General features: G+C 35.5%; 1 protein-coding gene across 10 annotated transcripts in view, besides 1 other annotated feature; it reads right to left on the minus strand.

Moving 5' to 3' along the window:
• Positions 3,273-4,009: an enhancer, noted in NCBI's record as "H3K27ac-H3K4me1 hESC enhancer chr8:113230017-113230753 (GRCh37/hg19 assembly coordinates)". NCBI's record gives its function as "activates a minimal SCP1, AML or CMV promoter by ChIP-STARR-seq in naive H9 embryonic stem cells {active_cell/tissue: H9 hESC(naive)}" and the evidence as "EXISTENCE:reporter gene assay evidence [ECO:0000049][PMID:30033119]".
• The window catches only part of CSMD3 (CUB and Sushi multiple domains 3), a 1,214,012-nt gene continuing 1,199,550 nt past the window's right edge, over positions 8,413-22,874 (minus strand). For all 10 annotated transcript variants that reach the window (NM_001363185.1, XM_017013010.2, NM_052900.3 and 7 more), the window contains 5 exons: positions 22,675-22,833; positions 19,850-19,962; positions 17,030-17,117; positions 14,241-14,376; positions 8,413-10,415 (listed from right to left, as the gene is read on the minus strand). In NM_001363185.1, the coding sequence (NP_001350114.1) occupies positions 10,256-10,415; positions 14,241-14,376; positions 17,030-17,117; positions 19,850-19,962; positions 22,675-22,833 (656 nt within the window). In that variant the 3' untranslated portion in view covers positions 8,413-10,255. The remainder of the gene's footprint in view (positions 10,416-14,240; positions 14,377-17,029; positions 17,118-19,849; positions 19,963-22,674; positions 22,834-22,874) is intronic.

Raw genomic sequence — 22,874 nt, forward strand, 5'->3', positions numbered from 1 at the left:
AGTATACATTTCCCATTAAAATTGTGAACACCCTATGATTATTTTGTCAAGAAATATCCAAGTTTTTCATGATATTAGAGTCATCTAACATGCAGTTTTCATAGTAATTCATTCCATCAAATTCTGAATATTCTGAAAATATGTATTGATGCCACATAGCCCAAACCATTTTTATGCCCCTTAATTATTAGGCTAAAATAAGGTAGTGCCTCATTCAACAGATCAAAATTTGTCAAGTTTCTCTATAATTCATAAAAGTTAATTTTAATTTATAGAAAGTAGTGAAAGCACACATAGACATACATAGACATCACATAGCTATTGTGCGGCACCTTAATATACTTTAATAATTTTTGTACCTTAAAAAGACATCAAGTTACAAGTTGAAGGATAAGATCTATGTGTTTTATTTTTATTTTTATTTCTATTTATTTTTTGAGACGGAGTCTTGCTCTGTCACCCAGGCTGGAGTGCAATGGCGTGATCTCAGCTCACTGCAACCTCCAACTCCAAGGTTCAAGTGATTCTCCTGCCTCAGACTCTGGAGTTGCTGGGACTACAGGAATATGCCACAACACCTGGCTAATTATTGTATTTTTAGTACAGATGGGGTTTTACTTTGTTGGCCAGGCTGGTCTCAAACTCCTGACCTCAGGTGATCCTCCTGCCTTGGCCTCCCAAAGTGCTGGGATTACAGGTGTGATCCACCAAGCCTGGCCATGTTTTTTTTATTTTTATTTTTTCAGTATCCATTACACCTTATAGTACACATTTAAAATGAGAAGATATTTGTTATTGTCAATAAATTAATTGACTAATGACATTTTGCTATTTATACCCACTCCTTCCCATTTGGAATTTAATCTTAGAGTTCATTGCCTTCATGCTGGTATTTGGTAACTGATATAGTTCCCCACACAAATTTCATGTTGAAATGTAATCCCCAGTGTTGGAGTTGGGGCCTGGGGGGAGAAATTAAATCATGGGGGTGGATTTCTCATGAATGATTTAGCACCATCCTCTTTGTATCGTCCTTGCAATAATCAGTGAGTTCTCAAGAGATCTGATTGTTTAAAAGTGTGTGGCACCCCACTCTTCCTTTCTCTCTCTCTTGCTCCTGCTCTGGCCATGTAACATGCCCACTTCCTGTTCACCTGCTGCCTTAATTGGAGTTTCCTCAGGCCTCCCCAGAAGCCAAGCAGATGCCAGCATCAAGCTTCCTGTACATCCTGAAGAACCATGAGCCAATTAAACCTCTTTTCTTAAAAATTACCCAGTCTCAGGTATTTCTTGATAGCAATGCAGGAATGGCCTAATAAAATAACCAAGCTTCAAATTAAGCCCTCCATTTTGCTGTCCAGTAGCATAAGGGAGCAGACTACATCTTCTTCCCTGCCCGTTTGCTATGTACTTGTAAATTTCAACCTACAAGGCAGGGTTCCTATTCTGGTACACAGATATAATTCAGTTTGTGATCTTGAAATAAAAAAAGAAATTACACCTTTATCTTCACTGATCTACTAAATAAAATATAGTACTTTTTTCAACCATAAAGATAGGCATAAATAATTTCTGATTTTGTCATTAATAAAAATCACATATATTTTAAGGTCATGTTTAAACGTTATGAATATCTCATAATATTGCTTATAATCACTCCTTTTCAAAATTACCAGAATTAATTAGCCCCCTGCTTACTTAATTATTCAGTAATGTGTATATATGTATTAGTGTATATTAATGTACATATATGTATATTATTATATAAAATATTTTAAAATATTTTGTAATTATTTTATTACAATTAAGTTTCTGTGTGCTTCATTTTATACATTTAAAACCATCTCTGAAAAAGAGGCCATAGACTTCAAAGAAGTCCTGGATTTCTCTACTGACTTTCTCTTTAATTAGCTTAGTGTTAATTTGCTAATTGGGATTACAAAGTTGTTATATTCCCCAGATAACATATCTCATTCTAATAAATTCTTTCTGGAGATACAAAATCTTAACTCAAGGTGGTGAGGAAGACACTTGCAGAATAGAAAAACTTTAGGGTTCCCTTTAATTTATACCATATTATTCTATGTAATTGTTTTTATATATTTATCTACATATATCTCACTGGTCTTGCCAGAGCACAGAGGTTCATTGCTATTATGACAGGTATGCTAATAGTGACAACAAACGTTTGGATCTGATGAGAGTTTAAACACAGGTTTCTTGTTTTGTATTTTACAATACAATTCGTAGCTATGAATTTGAATGTAGAGGATATATACTTTTTTCAAGACTAATAAAATTATTACACATGGGGACTTATTAAAAGTTGGAAAAGTATCTGGCAGGTGTTCACTAGTTCCATTGTTCTGTATACTGAAGAATGAAATCTAATGTCCAGTGGCTATTTCTGTTCCCCAGTAACTTCTAAATCTGTTCTGAAATTACTTTAGAACACCAAGTTCATGAAGGTGATGACAGAAAGATATTTCTTAGATTTTACAACATGTATATCTTCTCAGATCAATATTCCCTTATCTCCAAAGTCATCCTAAAAAAAGGAAGCAAGTCAATATTTCTTTCAGCCAAAATTCAAACTACACATTATACATTCTTTCTTAGCCTCATGTGCTTCTATAATTCTATAGAAGAGCTTTTTAAAACCTCGCTTCAACTATGCCTGCTTTTAATTTATAGATATTCACAGATTAATACTTTGACAGGCGATACATTCTCATTTCCTTTTAAAAGAGAGTATTATCTGGTTATTTTACTGGCTCTTTTAGACAATGTTTTGCCCATTCCCCACCCCCCCTCACTTGTAAGTGAAAAGGACAAATAAGATAAATCTTGCCTATTGGTCTATTTCCACAATCACTCATCAGGCTCCAGTATCAAGAGACAGTGGGGGGAAGCTACATCTTCTCCTTAACATTCTTAAACGCATGGGAAGTGCAACGAGCCTTTTAAGGCTCTTTAAAATTACTTTCATTAAAATTGCTCCTCACTTTTGAGAAGACTAAGGATAAAAGGAAAAGAAAAATAGCAAAATAAAAAATAAGAATAAAAGACTAAAAAGCAGACAACATATAAAAGAAAGACTATTAAGAAAAGCAGTGATGAGAGGGTTACGGAGAAGAGAACACAGTAAAATGTGTGAAAGTGGTTAAAATACAACACGACTATCTTCAGCAAACTACAACTCTTAAATGTGAAGTGTTGAAAAATTAAATGATCTCCAAGGGACAGGGCAGAAGATGTATCCAAAAGCTTTAAGTTCAAAGACATTATTTAATTAACAAAAATATTTGAGATTCCCAGGCAAGGTGGCTGAATAGGAACAGTTCAGGTCTACAGCTCCCAGCGAGACCAATGCAGAAGGCAGGTGATTTCTGCATTTCCAACTGAGGTACCCAGTTCATGTCATTGGGACTGGTTAGACGGTGGGTGCAGCCCATGGAGGGTGAACAGAACCAGGGTGGGTATCGCCTTACACAGAAAGCACTAGGGGTCGGGGAACTCCCTCCCCTAGCCAAGGGAAGCTGTGAGGGACTGTGCCGTGAGGGACGGTGCTATCCAGCCCACATACTATGCTTTTCCCACGGTCTTCACAACCCGCAGACCAGGAGATTCCCTAGGGTGCCTACACCACAAGGGTCCCGGGTTTCAAGCAAAAAACTGGGCGGCTGTTTTGTAAGACACCAAGCTAGCTGCAGGAGTTTTTGTTCATACCCTAGTGGCTCCTGGAATGCCAGTGAAACAGACCATTTAGCTCCCTGGAAAGGGGGCTGAAGCCAGAGAGCCAAGTGGTGTTGCTCAGCAGATCCCACCCCCATGGAGCCCAGCAAGCTAATATCCAATGGCTTCAAATTCTCGCTGCCAGCACAGCAGTCTGAAGTCGACCTGGAACTCTCAAGCTTGGTGGGGGGAGGGGCATCTGCCATTACTGACGCTTGAGTAGGCGGTTTTCCCCTCACAGTGTAAACAAAGCTGCCAGGAAGTTCAGAGTGGGCAGAGTCCACCGCAGCACAGCAAAGCGGCTGTAGGCCAGACTGCCTCTCTAGATTCCTCCTCTCTGGGCAGGGGATCTCTGAATGAAAGGCAGCAGCCCCAGTCAGGGGTTTATAGATAAAACTCCCATCTCCCTGGAGAGCACCTTGGGGAAGGGGCGGCTATGGGTGCAGATTCAGCAGGCTTAATCGTTCCTGCCTGCCAGCTCTGAATAGAGCAGCGGTTCTCCCAGCACAGTGCTCGAGCTCTGCTAAGGGACAGACTGCCTCCTCAAGTGACTCCCTGACCCCCATGCCTGCTGACAAAGAGACATCTCCCAGCAAGGGTCGACAGACACCTCATACAGGAGAGCTCTGGCTGGCATCTGGAGGGTCTCCCTCTGGGACAAAGCTTCCAGAGGAAGGAGAAATCTTTGCTGTTCTGAAGCCTCCACTGGTGATACCCAGGGAAACAGGGTCTGGAATGGACCCCAGCAAACTCCAGCAGACCTGCAGCAGAGGGGCTTGGCTGTTAGAAGGAAGAGAAGAATAAAATAAACACAATAAAAAATAATAAAGAGGAGATCACCACTGATCCTACAGAAATACAAATTACCATCAGAGAATACTATAAACACCTCTACACGAATATACTAGAAAATCTAGAAGAAATGGACAAAGTCCTGGACACATACATCCTCCCAAGACTAAACCAGGAAGAAGTCGAATCCCTCAATAGACCAATAACAAGTTCTGCAGTAATTACTAATCTCCCAACCAAAAAAAGCCCAGGACCAGATGGATTCACAGCTAAATTATACCACAGGAGCTGGTACCATTCCTCTGAAACTATTTCAAACAATAGAAAAACAGGGACCTCCCAAACTCATTTTATGAGGCCAGAATCATCCTGATACCAAAACTAGGCAGAGACACAACAAAAAAAGGAAAATTTCAGGCCAATATCCCTGATGAACATCCATGCAAAAATCCTCAATAAAATACTGGCAAACTGAATTCAGCAGCACGTCAAAAAACTTATCCACCACAATCAAGTTGGCTTCATCGCTGAGATGCAAGGCTGGTTCAACATACACAAACCAATAAATGTAATTCATCACATAAACAGAACCAATGACAAAAACCACATGATTCTCTCAATAGATGCAGGAAAGGCCTTTGATAAAATTTAACACCCCTTCATGCTAAAAACACTCAATAAACTAGGTATTGATGGAACATATCTCAAAATAATAAGAGCTATTTATGACAAACCCACAGCCAATATCATACTGAATGGGCAAAAGCTGCAAGCATTCCCTTTGAAAACTGGAACGAGACAAGGATGCCCTCTTGCACCACTCCTATTCAACATAGTATTGGAAGTTCTGGCCAGGGCAATCAGGCAAGAGAAAGAAATAACGGGTATTCAAATAGGAAGAGAGGAAGTCAAATTATCTGTGTTTGCAGAAGACAGGATTGTATATTTAGAAAACCCCGTTGTCTCAGCCCCAAAACTCCTTAAGCTGATAGGCAACTTCGGCAAAGTCTCAGGATACAAAATCAATGTGCAAAAATCACAAGCATTTCTATACACCAATAATAGTCAAACAGAGAGCCAAATCATGAGCAAGCTCCCATTAAAAACTACCACAAAGAGAATAAACTACATAGGAATACAACTTACAAGGAAAGTGAAGGACCTCTTCAAGGAGAACTACAAACCACTGCTCAAGGAAATAAGAGAGGACACAAATGGAAAAACATTCCATGCTGATGGATACAAAGAATCAATATCGTGAAAATGGCCATACTACCCAAAGTAATTTATAGATTCAATGCTATCCCCATCAAGCTACCACTGACTTTCTTCACAGAATTAGAAAAAACTACTTGAAATTTCATATGGAAACAAAAAAGAGCCTGTATACCCAAGACAATCCTAAGCAAAAAGAACATAGCTGGAGGCATCATGCTACCTATCTTCAAACTATACTACAAAGCTAGAGCAACCAAAACAGCACGGTACTGGTACCAAAACAGATATATAGACCAATGGAACAGAACAGAGGCCTCAGAAATAACACCACACATATACAACCATCTGATCTTTGACAAACCTGACAAAAACAAGCAATGGGGAAAAGATTCCCTATTTTATAAATGGTGTTGACAAAACAGGCTAGCCTTATGCAGGAAACTGAAACTGGACCCATTCCTTACATCTTATACAAAAATTAACTCAAGATGGATTAAAGATTTAAACTTAAAACCTAACACCATAAAAACCCTGGAAGAAAACCTAAGCAATACCATTCAGGATATAGGCATGGGCAAAGACTTCATAACTAAAACACCAAAAGCAATGGCAACAAAAGCCACAATTGACAAATGAGATCTAATTAAACTAAAGAGCCTCTGCATAGTAAAAGAAACTATCATCAGAGTGAACAGGCAACCTAGAGAATGGGAGAAAATTTTTGCAATCTATCCATCTGACAAATGAGTAATATCCAGAATCTACAAAGAACTTAAACAAATATACAAGAAAAAACAAACAACCCCATCAAAAAGTGGACAAAGGACATGAACAGGGACTTTCAAAAGAAGATATTTATGTGGCCAACACACATATGAAAAGAAGCTCATCATCACTGGTCATTAGAGAAATGCAAATCAAAACCACAATGAGATACCATCTTACACCAGTTAGAATGGAGATCATTAAAAAGTCAGTAAACGCAGTGGCTCATGCCTGTAATCCCAGCACTTTGGGAGGCTGAGGCAGGCAGATCACGAGTTCAGGAGATCGAGACCATCCTGGCTAACATGGTGAAACCCTGTCTCTACTAAAAATACAAAAAATTAGCCGGGCGTGGTGGTGGGCGCCTGTAGTCCCAGCTACTCAGGTGGCTGAGGCAGGAGAATGGCATGAACCCGGGAGGCGGAGCTTGTAGTGAGCCGAGATCGCGCCACTGCACTCCAGCCTGGGTGACAGAGCAAGACTCTGTCTCAAAAAAAAAAAAAAAAAGTCAGGAAACAACAAATGCTGGAATGGATGTGGAGAAATAGGAATGCTTTTACACTGTTGGTGGGAGTGTAAATTAGTTCAACCTTTGTGGAAGACAGTGTGATCCTTGATTCCTCAAGGATCTAGAACTAGAAATACCATTTGACCCAACAATCCCATTACTGTGTATATACCCAAAGGGTTATAAATCATTCTACTATAAAGACACATGCACTGTTATATTTATTGCAGCACTATTCACAATAGCAGAGACTTAGAACCAACCTAAATGCCCATCAGTGATAGACTGGATAAAGAAAATGTGGCACATATTCACCATATACTATGCAGCCAGAAAAGGAATGAGTTCATGTCCTTTGCAGGGACATAGATGAAGCTGGAAACCACCATTCTCAGCAAACTAACACACAGGAACAGAAAACCAAACACCGCATGTTCTCACTCATAAGTGGGAGTTGAACAATGAGAACATATGGGCATAGGGAGGGGAACATCACACACTGGGACCTGTACAGGGTTGGGTATCCCAGAACTTAAGTATAATAATAATAAAAAAAAGAAAAACAGCAGAAGAGAGAAATTAAAAAGTGGAAGAAAAAGGAAAAGTAAAAACACAAAGAAGAATTAAAAAAAGATGAAGAACAACAAGTGAAATATAGATGGGAAATGAGTGAAAGGTGGAGGTAACAAAGTTAACAAAGAGCTACAATTATATCAAGAACCATACATTTCTAAAGCTAAAGTGTAATAAACAGAGATAGACTATACATGCTGGAGTTTGAGGTTCTGAAAATATAAAGACACTGTGTTTTGTAAAAAAGAGTTATCTAATAAAATTGAACTTAGTAACTTGTAAATTGAATTTATAGAAACTTAGTAAGTTTCTTGAATACAGATTTTTACACATTCCATTTATTTGTGGAAATCCTCCGTCCTGACAAAAATGTATTTGTTTTTGAGTATTAGTTTAATCTATTCAAAAAGTTTTGAGTTCATGTCTATAGAGCATGCTAATGTACCTCTATGAAAATATACTACAGAAATATTAGAAATCATCAGATGTAACTAAATTTAGACAGTACTGTTAAATATTAGCATTTAAGGAAACTTCTAAGATGAGGTTCTTGTTCTTTTTCTAGAAAACCATTCACTCAACATAAGATGAAGTTCTTATGTTACTACTATATTTACTTGGAATCAATTTTCCCAAAAGTGTCATAGTTGAGGAATTACGGAATTTAAAGAAGAAAAACACTCATATTTCATTATTATGTTGCTAACTAAATGTATAGAATATGCAGTTTGGGAACTTTTAAAAACAACAAATAAATGTGCGTTGTTCATTCCTTTTACTAACCTGAACAGTTGCAGTTTATTTTTGGAAAAAAAAACACATTTTACAAAAGCAATTATCCATTTTTATTTTGTTTACATTGCACTGAAAATTTACATCATACTTTTACAAAGTTTCTTTTCATAAAAATATACTTCTTTACAAAAGTGTATGCATTAATATAAGAGGAGTAGCCAGTTGCAGAAGAAACATTGTTTAAACAAGATCTTAAATGTATTAGCCTTAACATTAATGAATGAATCATTGTTATTGCAGTCATTTGAATAAACAAGAATAAATAACTGATGGCATAAAATTTAAAACTGCATCCTGCCAGTAGAGTACCATGTTGAGAAAATTGTATGAATTTCCAAAACAATGTATCTCAAAGTGGTTTACAAGAAATTCATTAAATGTTGTAGAGATAGAGCCAAGCAGCGCTCCCAGGTGCAAGGGTTTCTCTTAGGCACTCTGTCTCATGATACAAAAAGTCAAGACTGTTCACAGAGTTATCCATATTTGAAAGGGACAACAACAAAGAGTTAACACTGGGTACATGATCGTATTCAATGAAGTAAAACAGCTATAAAAGGAAGACGATGACCTATTAAATAAAAATGCTGGCATTACTGTATGATACAGTTTAAATGAGCCACCAATAACTTACAAATACATATCTTAATTTGACAATGAAAGAAACCTCTTGTATGTGAAACTTGGTGTTTAACAATAAAGGTACAGAAATTTAAAAATATATAAAAATATGATAAGTCCACAATTGTAGGCAATAAATTTATATTGGTGATTTATAATAATAATTTTTTTCAGTCATTATGTTTAGTGGCTAGACCAAAATATTTTTCTAATCCATTGTTAAATGAAAATTAAAAGTGTCAAAATAATGCTAAATTTGAAGACTCAGCTGGAAGGAAATGTAGATATAAATAGAGTAGATTATTAGGACATTTTATTTGGTCGATCAAAAATATTGTAAAATAAAGGATGGTAAGTTTGGTGTCTCAGATAACTGCAAAATAATAATTTTTCTAGATAATTTCTGCCAGCCAAATGGTTTTTGGGTGAGGAAACATACTGAAGCTACTATCACATTTGGGATTAAAAAATAATAAAAATAAATAGGAAAAAACCATATTGAAGCAAGGAGTGAAACACTACCCCATAGCTCACTGAATAATACTGGTTACTCCATAATGGGGGAATTGGGAGGGTAGCACAATGAACTTGCCCTTTGCAGAAACTATGACAACCAGTCTAAAAGAAGAAGAGCAATATGATGCTAAAGAAATAGAAAGATTCAAATTGGAATGGGAAACCTTATGTCTTCCGAGGCATAAACTAGCTCATAAACATTTAAAGTCATAACTCAATCTTAAATAAAGAAAACAATGCCTCATTTAACAAGAATGAATGGCAGATAGAGTGGTATGAAAGACAGATTTGTGGGCGTGATGTAGCTCAGGACAGTTAAAGAGAAGTCAGTGATCTATTGACTCTTGTAAGTATAGCTCTTATTTCTACCCTATATCTTTTTTTTTAAACCCAGTCCCTCTAATATAGTTTATAAAGCACAGAAATACTGATAGTGGATGCTCCTCCAATATATGCAAATAAGTTTATATTTTAGAATAATCTCCTTTTTAAAAAAAGCAAATAAACTGTGAGTAAGCACTCTCAGAGTGCAGCCAAATTTCTGTAAAACTCTCCATGGTAAACATGAAGAATTATGGTCCAGTTTATGAAAAAACACTCTTCTGTATCATTCCTCAGGAAAAGGTGACCCAGCAAGTCCTGAAAAGTGTGCTTTAATTTGTTTAGCAGTGAACTAAATGTGCACTGTTTTGTGTGTCGATTTCCAAGCTTCTGAAGAAGGCAAAGGTTGCCTCGTTATACCATTGTGCAAACCGTGTTCAAGTTGGGATCAAATCGTACCGCCTTCCCTTCCACTGACTTTGCGTTGGTGTCATACATGGGATTTTCAAAAGCTGCTTGGCCATTGTTATTTTCATGAACTGAACATCCTGTATACTGTGTTTTAGGTGCAGTCCTGTTGATGAGAACATTGATTAGCTATGTGTTAACTTTCTTCCAGAAACAGCAGACTACAGCTCAAACATAATGTACATCGTTAGCAGATAATGTAACTTAAAAATATTAATTGAGACATCATAAACACACTAAGTCAACTTGAACAATTTCCTTGTTACTTTAAAAACCTGAGTGACTTTTAATTTTACATATATTACATATTTATGTACAGCATCAATATTAGTAACATAAATATAAATAAATTATATGATGGCTATAATAAATTTTCTTACAAAATTAGAAATTATTATGACTTATCATTTATAGTATAAATAATAATGATGATGGATTTAAGTCTCATCACTATTTATTTGTTCACCAAATATTTACTGAACATCTATTATGCGCCAGTCATGATTCTAGGCATTGGGTATATCATTTTTTTAAAAAAAGACTAGTCTTTACTTTCAGGGAGTTCACATTGTAGTGATAGAAAACAAGAATAAATTAAAATAAATAAAACCAAAAATAGTAGGTAATGAGAATTGTTATGATGAAAAGGAAAATGGTTAATATGAAAAGTAACTGGAAGCCACTTTAGGAGAGGTAATAGAACAAAGCATCTTTTAGGAGGTAACATTTAATCTGAAACCTGAATTATAAGTCGGTTCCGCACAAAAAGAGAAGGAGATTCCCTGAAGAGTACACAATTAATGCTGAGGCCTAATTTGGAAAGGTACTTTGGAGTATCCCAAAACATGAATGCTCAATTTTATTTTTTAAATGGTATACATTAAAGCATGCAAATTCAAAAATTCAAAGAAGAAATGGCTACTCTCATACTCAAGTCATGAAAATAATTTCTAAAGGACTACTAACAATTAGTTAACCAGACACATGAATTCTGGGTTGGCTGGTAGAGGATGCTGGTCTTGAAATTCTGATTCATTTGTTTATTTCTTCCACCTTTGACTAATGCTAATCTAGTTTATCTTTCCCACGAAGCATGTATAACTTGCTCACATTTGTAATGGAAAAAAGGCAGACTTGCTGCTATCTGTTTCTGGGGCCTAATTCCTAAAAGGGATATATCTTAAAATAAATTTGTTTCTCAACTCTATTGTTTATACTGAACAATCGAATTTCAACTATTAATTTTATTATAATTTGTAATTGCCATTATATTATTTTATTATCACTAATGCATTTTTCTGAATTTATCTATATTTCAAAAATATTAGGTGATTTCTACGATAATAATTGTAAAAGAAACTATCTTAGGTTTATTGGGAGAAAGCTAATAACTTGCTCTTACTAAGTGTGTCTAATACTATAACTCTACTGGATCATATTTTTTTTCCAAACTAGATTTAAAATAAAAACCAAAGCAACATCATTGCCTTCTAATTAGGTAATAATCATGAAGATACAAAATAATTGCCCCTTCTTAATATTCAACAACTTGAAGGAAAATATTACCAAGTTTTAAAAATTCACACCATGAATAAAATTTAACTCAAAATGAATCATAGCCCTAAACACAAGAGCCAAATTCATAAAACTCTTAGGAAAAACACATGGCCTTGAATTTGGCAATGGTTTCTTGGATTTGACATCAAAAGTACAAGTAAGAGGAAAAAAAATAAATTTAACTTCATCAAATGGAAACTTTTGTACATCAAAGAACACTCTCAAGACAGTGAAAATACAACCCACGGAAAGGGAGAAAATATTTGCAAAACATATATCTAATAAGGGCCTAGTGTCTAAAATATATAGAGAACTCTTACAACCAAATAAGACAAACAACCTAATTTAGATATGAACAAAGTATTTGAATAGGCATTTCAACAAAAATGGACAAAGGGCCAACAAGCACATAAAAGGATGCTTAACATCACCTATAATTATGAAAATGGAAATCAAAACCACAGTGAGATACAGCTTCACATGCACTAGGATGGCTTTAATAAAAAACAAAAGACAAAGCCCCCCAAACCTGGAAAATAACAAGTGTTGGTTAGGCTTTGGACAAAGCAGAACCTTTATCCATTGCCGATAGGAATGGAAAATGCTGCTGCTGCTGTACAGAACACCTTGATGGTTACTCAGTAAATTAAACATAGAATTGCCACATATTCCAGTAATTTCATTCCTGGGTATATACTGAAAAGAACTGAAAATGAGTGTTCAAACAAAAACTTATACACAAATGTGTACAGTAGCACTATTCACAGTAGTTAAAAGGTAGAAACAACTCAAATGTCCATCAATTGATGAATGGACACATTCATCCATACAATGGAATATTATTTAGCCATATAAGAGAATGAAGTACTGATGCATGCTATAACATGGATAAAATTTGAAAACATTTTGCTAAGTTTAAGAAGCCAGATACAAAATGTCACATATTGTATGATTCCATTTACGTAAAAAATATGCAGAATAAGCAAACAGATTTGCAGTTACCTGCAGCTGGATGAGGGGAGTGAGGAGTGACAACTTAATAAGTACAGTTTCCCTTTGGCATTTTTGGGGTTCCAAAATATTTTGGAAATATACAGTAGTGATGGTTGCATGGCACTCTGAATGTACTAAATGCCACTGAATCGTAGTCTTTAAAATGGTTAAAATGATAAGGTTTATATCATATCTATTTTACCACAATTTTTAAAAAGTTGACTTAGGTTGTCCTATAAATAAATTTAGTGATGATTATTCTTTATCTATTAATAAAATCTGATATTGACTAGACCTAAGTAGCTGGTAATTCACACTCAGTACACATTTATATAATATTAAATAAATCATTCTTAGATGTTGCAGATTGACCCCAAATGAAAATATCAATTTTGCGGTGGCTCACACCTGTAATCCCAGCACTTTGGGACGCCGAGGCGGGCGGATCACGAGGTCAGGAGATCGAGACCATCCTGGCTAACACGGTGAAACCCCGTCTCTACTAAAAATACAAAAAATTAGCCGGGCATGATGGCGGGTACCTGTAGTCCCATCTACTTGGGAGGCTGAAGCAGGAGAGTGGCGTGAACCTGGGAGGCAGATGTTACAGTGAGCCGAGATTGTGCCACTGCACTCCATCCTGAGCGACAGAGCAAGACTCCGTCTCAAAAAATATATATATATATCAATTTTGGAGGAAAGGCATTTAGGTTATAGTCATTTAATTATCTGGCTACCCACATATTTTTTCTTGATAAGGGATTGTCCCAAATAGTGGGATATAGTAAAGCACTCACCAGGATTTGTAATGGACTGAGAGAACAGGATCTACTAATAATATGTACAGCTATATATTAGATCTATCACAAATATATTAATTGCAATTCATCAAAAAGCAACAGAAGATGAATGAGAAGATTAGAGGATTTTGCCATCTGTCTGCCTGGGTAAAATCAGTTAGTATTTTTGTGTGAACTAAGAGGTTTGGACACAAGCTCCTTCTTAGTTTTCTAAACATATCTGGCAGCAGATATTACCTCTCCAATTTAAACTTTAACCTAGATTTTCTATCTCTAAAGTCTCATTATAGATAATGTAGAAATAACTTTTACAATTAGGTCCATGCCAGGAAATTGACAGGCAAAAGAAAGGTTAAACTGAATGCTTGTGCAATTTAACAGAGCACTTTTGTTATGTTGTATGTAATGTTGCAGGGGTGGTTAGGGGAAATAAATTTTTCAGTGTCTATGACAATAGTTAGCACACAGACATTTCAACAACTCAGAAGAAAATTTGAAATTAAGATTTGAGCTAGAGCAGTAGAAATAACATGAAAAACAGATTTGGGAAACATTTTGTAGTTAAAAATCAATGAGCTTACCTTTGTTTATAAAGATAAAATCCAAATCCTGCAAATATAAGTGCAAAAAAAGGCACAAGAATAGCAATGGCTACAGAACTACTATTTGTACCATGAGGTTGATTTGAAGAATTTGAACCTTCTGACATATTCAGTCCTACAAAATAAAAAATAAATTATAAATACACAACTCTTTTATCATAATTAATTTCTACTCCCATGAATCAATTAATTTCTTCTATTCTCAAGATATCTACCTGGAAATCACATAGTAAACAAAAATAATTCATGAAACTCCTTCAACTCATTTCACATATGTTTGCACAGTGCCTCTTAGAAGATATTTTTCCAGGAAAGGGTACAGACAAAAAAATAGGCAGAGCCCCGAACTAAGGAGTTTATACAATAGTGGGAAGACATATGGAGTATATAATAAGTGTGTATATCAAGCATGAATAAATGGTCAATGTGCTTTAGAAAGGAAAGGAGTAATTCTGGAGGATATACAACATAGGCTTGGCTTGAAAAATCATCATGAGGCTAGAAATGGGAAGGTAAGTGGCTTAGGTAGTGGATGTGACAAGCACTGACATGAAATAGGAGTGGGAGGTTAAAAGAATAAACTATGGCTAGACTCTAAAAGGGAATAAATATCATTCTGACGAACTCAAACTTTTTTTTTTCTTTTTCTTTTCTTTTTTTCTTTTTTCTTGAGACAGGGTCTCACTTTGTCACCCAGGCTGCAGTGCAGTGGAGTGGTCGTGGCTGACTGCAGCCTCCACCTCCCCGGCTCAAGCGATCTTCCTGCCTCAGCCTCCCAAGTAGCTGGGACTGCAGGCACATGCAACCACACCTGGCTAACTTTTGTATTTTTTGTGGAGACAGGGTTTCACCATGTTGCCCATGCTGGTCTTGAACTCCTGAACTCACGTGATCCACATGCCTAAGCTTCCCAAAATGCTGGGATTACAGGCATGAGTGATGGCACCCAGCCAGAGTTACTATCCACCTCAGTGAGGAACAACTGAAGGTGTTTAGAAATAAAAGACCCAGTGATATGACATGAGATTTAGAACATAGCGGTAGTAGGATGGACTTCAGGGAATACAGACTGGAATCAGGTGTAGTTAGAAGATTGTAGTGACAGCCGAGATTAAAAAAAAAAAAAAAGGAATTAAAATTTAAACTAGAGAAATAGGAAGTGCATGGGACAATAGATTTGAGGAAGATTTCATAATGAAAATTAGCAGAACTTGTTTATGTGGATGTAAGAGGCAAGAAGACACAGGATTACAAGTATTCTACTTGAAGCTCAGTAAATGCCGATGGCATTCGCAGAGTTAGGAAATAAGAAAAGCCAAGCTTGTCGACACATTTGCACAGGAATGAGGGAAAAAGAAATACCAGTTCTTTCTTAAAAGGAAATAGTTCCTTTTTTGTGGGTTCTGCTTCAGACTTGTAGTGTTTGAGACACTTTGGAGAATATTACATGAAAATATTCAGCACTAAATTATACAACTGTGTAAATGCACTATGTTAATGAGTGTTTTTACCTGTTTTTAAGACAAACACAGGTAGGATGTGATGTAAATGGCATCTTATTACTTTTCATGTAGAGAAAGCTAATTTCTCTTTTTGACAAACAGTTACATTTAACTAAACCTCATCTTTGTCCAGGTTAAAGAAAATTAGTATCTTATTTTTTACCTTATTTTTCCTGTGACTTAGTACTGCTATGTAAAAGTTCAAAATTTTTTAAAAAGTTCATTTTTGGCTGGGCATGGTGGCTCACACCTGTAATCCCAGCACTTGGGGAGGCCAAGGCGGGCGGATCACCTGAGGTCAGGAGTTTGGGACCCACCTGGCCAACATGGTGAAGCCCTGTCTCTACTAGAAATACATAGCCAGGCATGGTAGCTAATTCCAGCTACCATGGTAGTGTGCATGGTGGTCTGTAATCCCAGCTACTCGGGAGGCTGAGACAGGAGAATCCCTTGAACCTGGGAGGAGGAGTTTGCAGTGAGCCAAGACTGTGCCATTGCACTCCAGCCTGGGTGACAAGAGCATGACTCTGTCTCAAAAAAGAAAAAAAAAAAGTTCATTTCTTAAAAGATAAATGTCAAATAATAATTTTTAGAGCCTGAATTTATTCTTTGTGTATCCCTGTCACAGTATAATAATGGGAGACAGTGGATCATAGGAGAATTATACACCAAAAGCTATGTGTATAAACACATTCTTGCCAGACCATTAAAGGTTTATATACATATAGAAGAGTTGGAAATAAAAATGACAAAATTCTTTGCTTCCCACTGCAGAAAATTTACATATTTGAAGAGAACCAAGTCCCCAAAAGGGGCCCATTCCTCAAAGTTATTTTCTCTTTCCAGACTCTGTGAGTTTCTCAGAGTGTCACTACATTTTCAGAAGAATGAAAACTGCGACAATATTCAAACTGAAGAAAAGTAGTACAGTTCTCATGAGATACAATAAACTAATTTACAGTTTAATATTTTCTTTTTTATCTATATCACTTTTTCTCCTTTTTATGTGCTTAAAGGCAAGCCAGTTTGTCATATTTATTAGAAATACCATGAAAATCTAAACACTGTACAGAGTTGGTACATAAAGATCCAGTATTTTGAAGAATGTGATTATTTAAAAGGGCTATCAAAGGTATCAATGCATAGTTCTGGCAGTACAGAATTTATAATGCAGTAAGTGTACCTAATGTACAGAATCCACAGTCTTTTTTTTATGATGTCTGGGATAATAACAGAAGTTCGTGAAAATCAAAATGAATACATTACCCAGTCTTTGTAGGCCAAATTGTCCATAATCTTTGCCTTGAATAAATCCTTGAAATACATAAGTAGCTCCATCAGGCTCAGCAGAAACCTAAAAATATTTAAACAGCCAAATATACTTGAATACTGGCCATAGCTATATTTTCCCAGCCTTAATAAATACACAATTTTATTCTGAAAGAAATATTATCACAAGTTCCTTTCTTCTATATTTTTCTCCTTTGCAAAATATAGCACATTGTGAAAATTTTCCATCATTAAAAGCAAAAGTAAATTTTCTAATTTGAAATAATTATGATATACAAAACAGAGATTGGTTATTAATGTATGATATAGACATCTGCTGTCAATAAAAAGCAATGACATGAGGAAATACAGTGATCAATTAAAAATTAAAACATAAAAATACTGTACTTAGTAAATTCTATTACTGTTCCACATCCCCACTCTCCCAACCTTCATGAGAAGAGTTTACTCCCTATCTCATTTAGTTGGGCTTGGTCCTGTGACTTGCTTGGGCCTATGGAGTGTGGGGATTGGGATTGACAATAGTTAAGTTGCAAGCCTAGGCCTTAAGAGCCATACTTCCCATCACACCAAGTGGAAGAAGCCAGCCACAAAAGGCCACATACTATATGATTCCATTCATATGAAAGTCAGAACAGGGAAATCTATACAGACAGAAAATAGGTTAGTGGTTACTCAGAGCTGATTTGAGAATGTAAGGCAGGGGTTGATAGCTAAAGGCTGTGGAGTTTCTTTACAACATGAAGAAAGTATTGTAGTCTAGGTGAGGTGGCTCACGCCTGTAATTCCAACACTTTGGAAGGCCAAGGAGGGCAAATCACTTGAGGTCAGGAATATGAGACCAGCCTAGCCAACATGGTAAAACCCCCGTCTCTACTAAAATTACAAAAATTAGCCAGGGGTGGTGGCATGTAGCTGTAATCCCAGCTATTCAGGAGGCTGAGGCAGGAGAATCGCTTGAACCTGGGAGGTAGAGGTTGTAGTGAGCTGAGATCATGCCACTGCACTCCAGCCTGGGCAACAGAGTGAGACTCTGCTCAAAAAAAATGAAAGTATTTTATAATCAGCTATGATGAGGGTTACATATATGTGCACATATATTAAAAACCACTGAATTGGACATTTTTAAATGGGTGAATTGTAGGATACGTGACTTGTATCTACATTGAGCTGCAAGAAAAAGGCATAGGTCAATGGATTTGAGCTTATTTGAGAATCACAGCTTATTTCAGAACCACTTGCCCCTCTGAGAGTTTTGGACTTCTGACAAGAGAAGTACATGCTCTAGGCAGCAAGTGCCCTTTCAGACTCTGCCCCAAAATGAGATGATGAGACATGAAGACCTGGACTTAATACCACAGCCTCAAGTAGTGCCTCCACAGCTAACCCATTACAAATGAGAAATAACTAAATACTTATTATTGTTTGACCCAGAGGCTTCATGGCTATGTCTAATGTTGCCAATGCTAAATACTACATGCACCTTACATTTGTATACAATATTATATTTAAAAAATACTTTATATGCATAATGTAATTTGATCTTATAAGTAAAATAGGAAATGTTACATTTCAGCAATTCCTACTACTAAGTAGTAAAGTGATATATCCTGAAGTTTGTGTTAATTAATGGCAATTAGTTACCTAAGTCATGAACATTATCATAAAAGTTGTAAGAATCTTGAGTCCTCACTCTAAAAAGCAAAGGATACCAAACCACCCATGCAAGTCTGACATTTCACAACAACTGATTTATTCTTTATTATCAGACATTATACTCTGGGTATGGCCACCCTAAAAAATAAAGTACTTCTAAGAAGAAGCTCAAACTCCATCATTTTAATGAATCAATTCACTTTGTTTCCTACATAAAATAATACAATTAAACAATCTGAGTGCATTGAAGATTTGACTCAGTTCCCAACTCCATGAATACAGAATGCAGAAATAGGATAAACACTTTTTTTCCTCAGGAACCAAACTTATTGAAGCCTACTAGATGGTAGGCTTCTTGAACTTATTGAAGGCTTATTGAAACTTATCGAAGGCTACTACATAGCAGCCTATGATCCACTACAGTATCTTCTTTCCCATTAAGTTTTCCTTATGAAAAAAAGGCTTGGTACTTGAGAGGATACAGTCAGATCTCTCATGCTGACTCTTCAGCAAAGACTCCTGGCCCTTGTGTTTTCCACTGTCAGTCTTAACACTCCACTCACATAAATCACTTAATAGGAGTGACTCCATGGTGAAGCTACAGTAACTATCTCCCCATAGGAAGCAGCTCACATAAGTTCCTTTTCATGGACTTTATATATAAAATAGTCTAAATTCATGCTTCAATATAATGGGAGTATTTAATTTTCTGATGTACTTTGTAAATATGTTGCATATTCCTTAAGTAGTAGTGGTTCCAAAGATTGAATTATATTTTATCCAGATTTATTTATCATAGTGCTGATTGTAGATGGAATATATTTGATGAAATCAGTGAAAAACTAAATGCAGATCAGCACACACACACACACATACACACACCCACATCCACCCATACCCTCCCCCACACACACGTACACCCCACCACCACACACACACACACACGACAAAAGTAAGCAAAACACATCAGAATCCAGTATTCCTAGGCTTGTACTTTAGAATACTAAATATTTATATTTACTAATATATATGTATGTGTATGTATTCATAATTAGCTAAATTTAGAAAACTCTCCTTTCCTGGACAAGCTACAAATTTATCATTAAAATCAGCAGCAGATGTTAAAATAACTATACTTACAAAGCCATCCATTGCCCAATTTTCTTCCTTCATTTTCTTCACAGAAGCATGAGCAGGTACTTTAATAAGATATATGCGTAACATTAGGCGAGCTTCCTGGCTTTTATATACCCCTGTAAAATGCAAGGACATTTTAGTCTACTTAACTTTGTAAATAGTTATACTTCATTTTATTATCTATCATTCCTTAAATAGATTATGTAAGATATGTAATTAAAAAAAGAAATAAAACAAGGGCAAGTCAAGGATGGCTTAACCTATAATGCTCTTTGCAAATCCTGTAATATACATTGATTTATCTGTCTTCTGAAATCCTCAACTTATTTCTTAGTTGTGGGGTTTAAATTACCTATGCTATCACAATTAAGCACTAGTGTTCTTAATAACATCATTCCATGATATTGAAAACAAAATGATTTCTTCCCACAATCAGATTCTAAAATTTTCAAGCATACAAATCCAGTGTTAAAATTCCTGATATTTTCCTTAATAACAAATTAGTTGCCAACTCAGTGAAAAACAGTATTCTAGGTGCTGCTTGAGCCACAAAGATGAATATATATTGTTCCTGTTTTTAATAATTTCCAACAAAGTAGGAGGTATAAGTAAGGTACACAGCTAAATCAAACACATGAGAGAATGTGATAAATTAAAAGCCAGAGAGAGATCATTTCACACTAGAATGATCAAGGAATAGTTATCAAGGAAAAGCACTGGAGGGCCAAGCATGGTGGCTCATACCTGTAATCCCAGCACTTTGGGAAGCCAAGGCGGACAGATGGTCTGAATCCAAAAGTATGAGTTTAGGAGTTCCAGACCAGCCTAAGCAACATGGCAAAACCCCATCTTTACAAAAAATACTTTAAAAAATTAGCCAGCCATGGTGGCACGCACCTGTAGTCCCAGCTGCTCAGGAGGCTGAGGTGGGAGGATGGCTTGAGCCCAGGAGCCGGAGGTTGCAGTGAGCCGAGATGGCACCACTGCACTCCAGACTGGGTGACAGAGCAAGACTCTGCCTCAAAAAAAACAAAAAACAAAAAACAAAAACAAAACAACAACAACAACAACAAAAAACAGCATTTGAACTGGTTCTTAAAAATAAAGTAGAATTTTTAGTTTGGGAAGGTAAATACAAGCAATGACATAAGGAAGAGAAGCAAAAATATATACAATGATTTTTACATGGTAAGTGTTCTAAGGGTAGCTGTAAGCTGGAGGGAAAAAATTGTTTAGGGAAATAACAGAAAATAGGATCTAAGAAAAAATCTGATTAACTGTTGTTTAAAACTTGACTGTATTCATTCATTCTAACTTAATTGTTCACCTATGTAATAGGGCACCATAATATGCAGGAAATGAAAAGATAATGAGACATAGGTGCTAAGGTAAATTATAATCAATAGGAGGAAGATATAAAAGTAATCGATAATATTGCTGAAAAATTGCTACAATTGGTTTATATGGAGACAGTAAGTGAAAGCGAATTAATCTAATTCTTTGTCTTTCCATATATATAGAAAACTCTTGAGTTTATCTAGATTAGAATAAGTATACATTTATTTTGGGCTCTTTTATAGAAAATAAAGAAAAACTTTGTTAACACATCAAAGTTAAATAAAGCATTAGTCACAATTTAAATGTATTTGTCTCATTCATTTAAAGTTTCTTTCGATTAATATAAGGTAATTATATGTATTTTTAAAATTATACTACATATTAACTTCTAATATTTTTACTTTGTGTTTAACGGAGGATCATTCAATAATAAGAATGACACTCAAAATTCATTCTAAAATTTATAAAATCAATGAATATAATTTTATTTTCAATTTTTTACAGCACAAATTATTTCATTATTAATATTTATATGGGTTATATCTATACAGACAAGAATTTTACAGTTTATATTTCATATTTGCAATATCAAATATCATAGTGTCTCATTTTAAAAAATGAGAGCAATTATAATTCAAATGCATTAATTTGAAAATATTTATTGAGGCCTATTTTGTTTCAGATGTTCTGCTAGCCTCTGGGAATACAATATTAAGTTGGAAGGCAAAGAGCTTTCTTAGAATTTATTTTATATTGTTAGAATATAGACACATAATGAATAATAAATATAACAAATATAATTTCAAATATTGTAAAGAAAAAAACAGGGTAAGGCTGCCTAAAACTAAGAATATGTCTGACAGCATTTGTAATACAAAGTTTCCTTTAGGTCAGGTCATTGGGAGTATTGCTTGAGGAGGTGACTTGTGAGAGAATATCTGAGTGTTAGGAAAACCAGTGCAATCAAAGATAATGAGAGATGTGTGTACTGGACACAGAAAACAGAAACTTAAGAAGATTGACCAGGTTTTGGTTCCCTTATGCCTATTTAAACAAGTGTAGCTCTATCTTTATTTGTCTTAAATATTGGATGTCCATCTATAAACATGGTCATTTGAAGAAATAGCTTTGTGGCCACAGAATAGTTGAGAAATCAATGATTTGGTCTCCGTGGTTTTATGAGAATAGAGAAAGATTTAGTTGTATTCATACCTAAATTAAATGTTATGATCTAATATATGACATCTAATTCTAGCTACCAAAAATTATTTAAATAACTTATTTTAAAACTAGTTTTATATTTCTGTAGTAATATTCATTCATCAATCCAAAAACCAGAAAACCTTGGTTCTGAGTGAATATGAATGTCATCAAAAGCAAATGTATCAAAATAAACATTTCACCATATAAAAAGCATTACTAAAAATGATGAAATCATAATAGAAATAAAGTCATGAAGGTATATTTCGCTGCTGTTTTTATTGCGATACCTGAAAGTAGCAGCTCCATGTTGCTATTGCTCAGTGTTGCGTTAACTCTCCCAGTGGAAGCATTGAAACTAGTAACTGTTAAGGTCATGGGTTGTTTCCTTCCTTTGAAATTGTAAGAGCCTTTCCATATATAATTTTGGGCAAATACATCATCAGGAACTGTGAATAGATTAAATATACCACACATTAATTTTACAATG

This window comes from Homo sapiens, chromosome 8, assembly GCF_000001405.40.
Source record: "Homo sapiens chromosome 8, GRCh38.p14 Primary Assembly".
Taxonomy (NCBI): Eukaryota; Metazoa; Chordata; class Mammalia; order Primates; family Hominidae; genus Homo; species Homo sapiens.